General features: G+C 38.6%; 1 long non-coding RNA gene across 3 annotated transcripts in view; it reads left to right on the top strand.

Moving 5' to 3' along the window:
- The first annotated feature begins 528 nt into the window (after positions 1-528).
- LOC105378523 (uncharacterized) overlaps positions 529-10364 on the top strand; it is a 129587-nt gene continuing 119751 nt past the window's right edge. For 2 of the 3 annotated variants that reach the window (XR_007062321.1, XR_007062320.1), the window contains exon 1: positions 9744-10258. This is a non-coding gene — a long non-coding RNA (uncharacterized LOC105378523). Of the gene's footprint in view, positions 586-9743; positions 10259-10364 lie in introns of those variants that run through there. The other variant, XR_946380.3, reaches the window with a different exon arrangement.

Here is a 10364-nt window from a genome sequence, read left to right as displayed (position 1 = left end):
TTTGTGGAATAAAATGGGCATCTCAAAACATCCAGAATTTTTTCAGGGAGAGAAAAGTTACAAAAGGAGTCATCAGCATAGCAGATGTTTCAACCAAGTCTAAACCAAGATTTGGGGTTTGTTTGGGTTTACAACTGTGTCATGACTTAATATCCCATGGCTAAATATAATGTCTTAATATTTATCCCCATTGGAGAAAGTGGTGGAATCGGAGTTTGGTGTGAAGGTTTCTCTACGTGTGTCTTTGGGAGGAAGGTTGGAGATGGTAGTGACCCACCCCCTCCTTCCCAGCCTGCCTCCATGGACCATGAGGTCTGAGCCCTGGTGAGAGAGAAAGCTGCAAACGAAGAGCTGAAGGAGCTGTTTCAACAAAGCACTTGTAAGATTCTGAACATCAGTAGTGTGGCTTAGGTGCTTTGATGGTGATGGACCACTGTAGACTGCAGAAGAAGAGTCACCTCCTCCTCCCTCTGTAGATATGCAATTAGATCCCTCAGAGTGGGTGTGACATCACCCTGGCAGTGAAGGGGAAGGCATGACAGATGTGCCTTCCTTAGGGAGAAGTAGGAAGGCTGGAATGAGGAGGTAGGTGACATGCTCCTGTGGTCTCTTGGAAATAACTGCAGAAAACCAAGGCAGAGGGCTGATTTCTTGCAGAGAAGCAGGTGAAGTTTAAGAGTCAGCAGAATCTGGGCATTAATTTAATATAATCTCATTTATATCCAAAGACTTATGAAGCCTGGGGAAACTCCAGTTATGAGACAAAGACAGATTTTAAAGAGCACATGGAAGGAAGGGACCGGGCTAAAACGCTGGCTGATAGGAAGCTCTGTTAGTGGGAGCTCAGTAAAAGGGTTATTTAGGTGTTTTAGGTTTTGGTTCTCCTTGGGCTTAATAGCTTTTGCCTGCTATTGAATCCCAGTGCTTATGATAATATGGAACTTATGTTAAAAAAAAATGAGTCTAGGGGAGTTTAAGTACTGTATTGTCAAACTAAAGTATCGTTTAGAGACAGTATGTGTGTATATAAGTGTGTGTTTGTGTGTAGAAACACATATAACTACCACTGAGGTATGTTTGTACTGCAGTATATGTGTGTGAAATTATCACTATGGGCATGTCTTGGCTTATGCATATTTGCTTAATGTGTACCTTTCACTTACAACCCTTCATAAACATAGGTACCCTGCTGTTTAGAAGAGTGTGGTTTGGGACGTGGGGCAGCACCCTGGGCTATCATCCAGCAATGAAGTGAGATTGCTTGTCTCCTGGGAATGGTGAAACATTCCCTTCTCACCCACCAGGTTTCCAGGGCTAAAGTGTTGTTTGTGATGATTTGATGTTTATTCATGTGGTAAGGTTTATTTTTGTTAAGTGCCTGTGAGTCAACAGCTATACTATACTCTACCAGGAGAAAGCAGCCCACTCTCTAGCATACATCTTTCAAATTTACTTGGGTGAAGAAGGAAGACCCCAAAGAAATGTCTTTGAAGTCATCTGCCTCCAGAAGAAAGATTGATTGATGTTTGTCCTCAGAACTACCATTGTTGATGTGCACAACAACCCAAAATAAAATTTGCAACATAATGAACCTAGGTTGATGGGCTAGGAGAAGAAGGTGAGGATAGAGGCAGGTGGGGACAGGCACTTTTTTTGTTCAGTGAAAGATGTAAGTATTGTTAAGATGAAGAAATAGACGGGGAGAATGTAACTACGGATCTTAACAAGTTAGGAGCAACTACCAGAAAACAAAACTAGAATGTATAAGTTCCTCACAGGTGGAAAGTTTACCCAATGGAAAGCAAGAAACAAAAAGAAAAAAATACACAAAAGAAAGTGTAATAAATAGAGAAAAAAGTAAAATAAGATGGCAGAAGTAAATCCTAACATAACCATAATTGCAATACATATAAATTGACCCATCAAAAGACAGAAATACTCAGATTGGATACAATATTAAGATCCAGCAATATTTTGTCAGTAAGAGAGTAGTGATGGACGGCAATCTGGTTAGGGTAATAACAAAAGGATAAAAAAAATTACAGTTGACCCTTGAACAACATGGGTTCGAACTACATGGGTCCACTTATGCACTGAATTTTTAAAATAAAAGTTACACTGAATGTGCCTGCCTCTCCTGCCTCCCTTCCACCTTCTCCACCTCTTCTGCCCCGCTTCCACCTTCTCCACCTCTTCTGCCCCTTCTGCCCTTTCTGCCTCTGAGGGGCAGGACCAACCCCTCCACTACCTTCTTCTCCTCAGCCTATCTAACATAAAGATGATGAGGATGAAGACTTTTATGATGATCTACTTCCATTTAATGAATAGTAAATATATGTTCTCTTCATTTTCTTAATAACATTTTCTTTGTTCTAGCTTAAAGAATACAGTGTATAAAACATATACAAAATATACATATACAAAATATGTGTTAATAGCCTGTTTCTGTTATAGCTAAGGATTCCAGTCAACAGTAGGCTATTAGTAGTTAAGTTTTAGGGAAGTCAAAAGTTACATGTGGGTTTTTGACAGCGTAGGGGGTCAGTGCCCCTAATCCCTGGATAGTTAAAGGACCAACTGTAGTAGGGAAATGTGAACCACAAGAAAGCCATGATAGCAATATTTATATCTGATGAAATATGATTAAAAACAAAAATCATTTAAGGGCAAAGAAGGATGTGACATATTTATAAGTGTAGCAATAGAATAATATATAATCATAATGAACATAAATGTACCTGATAATATTGTCTTAAAAATATGTAAAATGTCAGTCAACTATGGGAAGAAACGGGTAAGTCAACAATTGTGGACAGAAATTTTAAAACAGCTTTCTCAAACTGATAGGTTAAGCAGACCAAAGACAAGCAAAGATATAAAAGATCCGAATAATACAATAAGTGGAGAAACCAGTAGATATGTATGGAATTCTATGCCCAACAAACAGTAAAGGTACATTTTATTTTGAGAATGGATTATTCATAAAACATTTACAATTTACTAGGCTACCAAGAAAAGTTCTATATTCCAAAAAGAATCCTGTTTAATATATCATATGTTCAATGATAAAGATGCAGTAAAATAAGGAATCAGTTGCAACAGAAAGCTAAAAAGTAACCCATGTACCTGAAACCCAAATAACTTGGTTAAACAATGATTAACAGAAATGATGAAATATTTAAAACTAAACACAATTTTTTTTTTTTTTTTTTTTTGAGATGGAGTCTCGCTCTGTCACCCAGGCTGGAGTGCAGTGGCGTGATCTTGGCTCACTGCAACCTCCATCTCCTGGTTTCAAGTGATTCTTCTGCCTCAACCTCCTGAGTAGCTGGGATTACAGGCACACGCCACTACGCCTGGCTAATTTTTGTATTTTTAGTAGAGACAGGGTTTCACCATGTTGGTCAGGCTGGTCTCAAACACTTGACCTCATGATCCTCCTGCCTTGGTCTCCCACAGTGCTGGGATTACAGGTATGAGCCACTGTGCCCGGCCCAGAAATGTTTTAAAAACTATCAAAATTTGTAAGACAGCTAAAATAGTAACCAGTGGAAAGATATAGCTTTAGACACATTTATTTGAAAGCAACAAAGACCAACAACAAATTATTTGTGTTCAAATGAAGAAGTTGGAAAAGGAACAAATTCCCCCCAAATTTTGTTCCCCAAAAAGAACAAAATTTATTATAGAGATATAATAAATTTATGATAAAATTTAAGGTACACTAAAAATAAGATTAATAAAACCAAAATCTAGTACTTTGAAAGCATCAATAAGAGAAGCACTTTCTGGCAGGACTGATCGAGAGAAAGAGAAAATAAGCAAAATTACAGAATGAAAAAGAGGGAAATAAAATAGACACAGCTGAGAAAAATATTATGGAAGAATATTATGAAAAACTATCCAATATATTTGAAATCTACATGAAATGGAAACTTTCAAGGAAAGTTTTCCATGAGAACTATATTTCTGGAAAAATACAAAATGCCAAAAATAGTGAAAAACTGGAAAAATTTAATAAACCAATAAACAATAATGAAATTAAAAATGGTGATAAAGCTCTTTATTCCACAAAAGCCCCAGATCCAGTGGTTTTATAAGTAAATTCCACCAGTGTTAGAAAATAAACAACTCTGGGAAATAGGAAAATGATGAAACATTAGAAATTATTTTATGAGATTATTGTATTTTTTATTGCAAATTCTGCCAAGGACAGTACAAAAGGCCAATGTGATTTTTGAACATATAGGTAAAAAATGCAAAATGAAATATTAGCTAATGAAATTTTAGAAAGTGAAAGTAACAAACAGATGATCATGGAGGGTTTAGCCAAGAAAAGCAAAGATGGTTCAACCTCAGAAAATGTATTGCTAAATTAATCCACAAAAGAAAAATATCTTGATCATCTTAATAGATACAGAAAAAGCATTTTTATAAAGTTGAACATACATTTATGTTAAAAGTCTCTTAGCACACCATGCCTAGAAAAGGACCTTTTTAATGTGGTAAAGATTTATGCCCCTAACCTACAGTAGACAACATACTTTAGACTTTGAAATCATCTCCTTTAAGATTAGAAACATATGCTGCTGCTACTTAATACAGTATCAAAAGCCCTGGACAATTCTAAGATAAAAACAAATAAAACAATGTCAGTCTAATGGTTGGGAGGAAGAGTATTAAATTGTCATTTGCTGATGATATCTCAATGGAAATCTGTCAAAATCAGGAAAATGATTAGGGAGCTCAGGAAATCTGCAAGACACAGATCAACTTGGAAGCATTAATTACATCTCTCCCTACCACCAGTAACCAGTAAATAAAAGACAAGATGCCTTCATAATGGCAACAAAAATTATAAAATATCTAGAAATTAACAAGGAATACATAGTATCTATGGACAATATTTTAAGAAAATGTGAATAAAAGGCAAACTGTACCATGTATATAAATGGGATGCTTTAAGATGATAAACATGCCAATTCTCTCTATACTAATGTACAGTTTCAGGGTGATCCAGAACAAAATTCCAGTGGATTTAGGAATGAATGTAAGAAAGCTATTCTGTATACAGAAGAGTATAGGTCCATGAATAGCTAAGTTACTTTGGAAAAGAAGCAAAAGAAGGCAAATTTCTGTGATCAGATATTAAGATAGAGTATGCAACTATAGAACTAAAAACTATGTGTTAGTGGTACAAGAACAGAGAAGTAGACCAATTGAACAGAAATAATTTATAACTGATACCTAGATACATGGCAGCTTGAGATGATAAAGGTCAATGGGCAACAGGACACATGATTTAATAGAAGGTGTTAAGAAAATTGGCTCACAATACAAAGAAAAACAAAGCTTAGAGCCCTACCTTACACCATATACAAAGTAGATTCTTGATGGATGGAAGACTTAAATGTGAAAAGTAAAACCAGAATGCTAATAGAAGAAAATATAGGACCTCCAGGAAAAGAAGAACTTTAACATGACCTGAATAGAACAAACCATTAGGTGAATAATTGATGATTCTGATTACACAAAGCGTAAAGACTTTTGTTTTAAAAAGACGATATAGAAAAAGCTAACAGACAGATGAGAGATTAGGAAAATGTATTTGCACTGCCCAGGACCAACGAGATAACAATATCTAGAATGTAAGGGACTCTGCTGATACACAAGAAAGAGAAAACTTTAAAAATTATGACCAAAGGATATGAACAACAGTTCCTAGAAAGGAAATGTGAATGGCTAAAAATATATATAAAGAGATGCTTAAACTCTCAGTAACACTCAGATAAATGCAAATTAAATTAAGAATGGGAAAACATATTCTACCTATTTTAATTGGTAAAAATTATATCCAATTTATATCCATGGGTTAGCAGTACATGGGATAAAAGAAACCTTTGTGTCCTACTGGTGGGAATGGGAACTGATCCGGTATCCTGGAGAGCAACTGAGGCAGGGCTTACTTAAATGGTTGTTTCTGCTAAGGACTCAGAATTCCACTTATGGGTAATCTCAGAAAAAAAAATCCTTGCATAAATCTAGAGGAAGACATGGATGCACATGTTTGCTGCTTACTGTTTGTGTCATAAAGGAAATAGAGTTAACCTGTGGTCCATTTGAAGGGAAATCATTCAGTAAAATGTAGTGGATGGGCGTCATGAAGTAAAACCCAGTAGATAATAGCAACAGGGACAGATCTCTCAAGCATACCACTGAATTTAAAAGGGGAAAAATGCGATCCTTAGTCCAATGCCATTTATATAAATTTAAAAATATATATACACACAAAACAATTCTACATTATATAGGGATACCTACAAATTTGAGGATACATATTAAATGCATTAGAACTGTTGCCTGTGTGGGGAGGAGATTGGGAGTAGTGGATTCGAAAAAAAAAAAAGTCAATACACAAGTAAAGTAAGAGAGCAAACTTCCCTGGACCAATGATGATACTAGGCCATAAACCCAGGCATAAGATAAACTCAGTCATCTGCATTTGACATCTAGAAAGCAATGACTCTACATTTGTACATTTCTGTCCATGTATATGTTCTTTCTTTTTTTTGCCACCAAACATGGACAACTTAAAATGAGAGGTTTTTAAACTTTGAAGTCATTATTGAAAGAACTAAATTTCTGGTGGTTGTAATTTGGAGGAAACTAGTGGTCTACATCCTTCATTTAGAGAGGTCAAGTCTAGTGCTCATCACCTGTTCCCAGCACCAGGTTTTACTTGGCCTCCCATTTTTCCTACAGAAAAATTCCGTGGAGACCTTCTGTTTTCAGAATCAAGGCTTTAGGGCCGGCACTCCCACCCCCACCTCACCTACACAGACTTTCTGACTTTGATTGATGCTTTTCCTCTCATCAAGCTGCATCAGTTATATTAGCAACTTTATGGGCTGATATCTGACCCCCTGGCAATCCCTCCCGACAAATGTATGTTGTCACAGGCAACCAGGTCCTCAGACAATGTCCAGGTTTCCCAGATAATAACTTCTGAAGATTTATTTTTTTTCATTAAGATTCTGTTAGTTTCCCTAAATTTTATTTGTAACATGGTAGAAAGCAGATTAATTGAAAGTCAGTGACTTTCTCTTCTGAGATGGCCTTTATCCCCTCCTAAAGTAAAAAAATAAGTACTTATGGGGCCTCTGATAGGCTAGCTCTTCTAACTCCTGCCTTAAGCTTAGGTTGCAATTATCCCAGTGTCCTATTTTCAGAAAACCCTTGGACCTAATATTTTCCCACCTCCATTTGGCCCCCTCATGAGGGTGCTTCCATTTTATAGTGACCCCACATCCTCTACCCTGCAGGTTTCAGCTTCGGTTATTATTTTGTTCTGTGAGGACACAGAGCATCTGGAAAAGCACCTTTGTTCAAACAAATGTTCATGGTCCTGAAGCCTACTAATAGTTCCCCAAGCAATCTTTATTTCTTTCCCTAATCAATTTCTGTTATATCAACTTTGCAAATCATGATACTACTGTGGAAGGTTGCAATTCTAGGTATTTAGCAGATTTCCTAATAACAACCCCATTCGTTACTGTGGGCACACATGGAGTTCGTCATCATATATACTGCATCTCAAGAACTCAATGTTTTTCTTATAGGTCTGGTGTTGACTTAGCCTCTGTCATTCAAGTAAGGTCAGTAGTAGGAGATGCTATTTCACAACAAATTGCCAATCTCCCGAGTAGTAGAAATGTGTCATTAAGGCAGAATACTCCATCTATTAAAGTATTAAACTTTGTTATTTCTCCCTATGTCAAGTTCAGGGGTTGTAGAGGTCAGAGCCTTTAGTGAACACACTTATGTCATATGGGCCTTGGGTAGAGTCATTGAGAATCTTGACAGTTTCCATTTCCATTTGTCATAAGCACATCTTTGTATCTAATTACATTTATAAAAATATATAGAGGAGAGGGTGTTTGAAAGGCACCCTCTCCTCTATTCAGTTGGGAGGCTTTGAATAAATTAATTCACCTCTCTAAAAAGACTTAGTTTCCTACCCTATGAGGTGAGGATTCCCTCATTCATTTAGCAAGCACTTATTAATAACTACTATGTGTGAGGCAGATGGTAGGTGCTTGGAATGGAATTGTTAACAAGAGAAGCAAGGTCACTTCTGTTGTGGAACTTATATTCTTGCTAAAATTTAAAGTAAAAACAAAACAGAAGGCTGGGCACGGTGGCTCACACCTGTAATCCCAGCACTTTGGGAGGCTGAGGCGGGCGGGTCATGAGGTCAGGAGATCGAGACCATCCTGGGTAACACGGTGAAACCCCGTCTCTACTAAAAAAATACAAAAAAATTAGGCAGGTGTGGTGGCAGGCGCCTGTAGTCCCAGCTACTCAGGAGGCTGAGGCAGGAGAATGGCGTGAACCTGGGAGGCGGAGCTTGCAGTGAGCCGAGAATGCACCATTGCACTCCACCTGGGCAACAGAGCAAGACTCTGTCTCAAAAAAAAAAAAAGTGATACAGTGCAAATATAATAATACTTATAGTGCAGTTATAAAACTTATCCAATGGAGATGTTGCAAGGGTCAGAGACATGCACCTCTGTAGTTCTTGGTACACAGTACGTGCTCAATAAATGGTAACTACTTGGGTTGAAAGAAGAACCATAGTTAAAGGCTGTCACTTTTTCCATCCTTGTTGAGATACCAGTGGGCATCACGGTGAGGATGCTGCCAACAACCTTAAAATGGTGCTGGCGTGCCCATTGAAACTTTTTCATGGTAAAGTGTTAGGAGAGAAGTTCTACTGCCCGTTGGCTTCCTAAGACAGAGTAAGAGTGAGTGGGGACAGGTATGGAGGTAGGTAAAACTCTACCAGTCTGTGTAGTAGATCCCACTTGGCACCTACCCTCTCACCCTACCTACTGCACTGTACCCAGAGGAGGCACTGGGATTATTTCCCAGCAAGTGTCAGAACAGTGCGTGGCCATGGTTTGAGGCTCGCTTATGATTAAATCGATGCATGCGTGCAGCAGGGTGGGCAGGAGGGAGAACAGGGAAGCATCCCCTGGGCCAGTGCCCTTCCTCTCAACTCGCTGAGAATCGTGGGCAATCCATTTCATCTGGCCCAGCCTCTGCTTCCTGGAGCTAATAGTAGGGAATCTTTTGGAACTCCTCCAGTTGAGACATTACAATTCTAAATTCAAGGAGATTCTCATCTTCATCCCTGTAGGACTCATGCTTTGGAAAGGAAAAAAGCTCCTCTGATGGTTGGGATTGAATGGGCCTCGCCATTCACCATGGCCTGGACCAGTCTGTCTAGAGCCTTGACTCTTCCTCTGTATTGTGCAGAAGCTTGGCTCAGGTTCTCTGCTTTATAAAACAACATCCTTTGTAGCCACTTGGTAGACTGAGTCTATCTCTGTTTGCCATGCTTTGTGGTCCTTTTGGAAGGGACTGTGAAATAGGATTGAAAGGCACGTAGAAGGAAGAAAAATAGAGGTGGTGTGGCTCCACAAGTCAGCAGAAATCAACTTTGAATTTCAGAACTACTCAGTGGAGCAAAAGCCAAGTAATTGGAAATAAATCAAGATGACTGAACACATTTCAATATTATCCTTATTTAAATATTTGTTACATTCATTACAGCACCGAGGCCTATTGACCTTTTCCTGGGGACGCTGATTCTTGGGTTGTTGGCTTTCGTTTCCCTAACATAACTAATCACTTGAACTCCCTGGCATTGCTCTTGGCCATAAAGCTCGCAGGGTAGATATGTGGGGGAGACTAATGCCTTCCCCGGCTGCTGATCTGTGCCTGAGCTGGCTAGGTCTGTGAGCCTCGAAGGTCCAGGAAGCCAACACAAACACGCTGATTCCCCTGAACTCATTAAAAAGAGTTTGGTTGGGTTAGAGAGAATTCCAATTATTGCTCCTGGAAAACACAGCCGGGTCTAACAGTTCAGATATGTGACAACAGACTGGAAGCGAGTGTTCCTTTTTCAGAGAAACAAAATGTTGACTCTTGTAGGAATCCTATGAGAGAGAGATTTTTAAATACTCAGCACAAAAGATCTTCAGGTTGGGTATTCTGACCGGTACCTGGGATGTGAAGAAGGTAAATTCATTAACCAGATTGTATTTCAGGCCAGAAGAGGAATGTCCTACGTGAACGTGATTTAACAGCTCCATCGCCTGGGGCCACGTGGAATTCTTGAAGCAGCTGTGTCAGACATCCGAGTCAAGTTGGGGCATGAGTGACCTCTCAACATCTAATGGAGCATTTACTCCTTGTAAGTTTATCCTCTAATTTTTAAAAAATAGTGTTTGCCGACATACAGCCTTCATTAAGCTGCCAGAGACTTAAGATAATCGCAGGAAGCTCTGCACAGATAAACC

Source organism: Homo sapiens, chromosome 10 (genome assembly GCF_000001405.40).
Source record: "Homo sapiens chromosome 10, GRCh38.p14 Primary Assembly".
Classification (NCBI taxonomy): Eukaryota; Metazoa; Chordata; class Mammalia; order Primates; family Hominidae; genus Homo; species Homo sapiens.
This window is presented reverse-complemented; position numbering and strand designations above follow the sequence as displayed.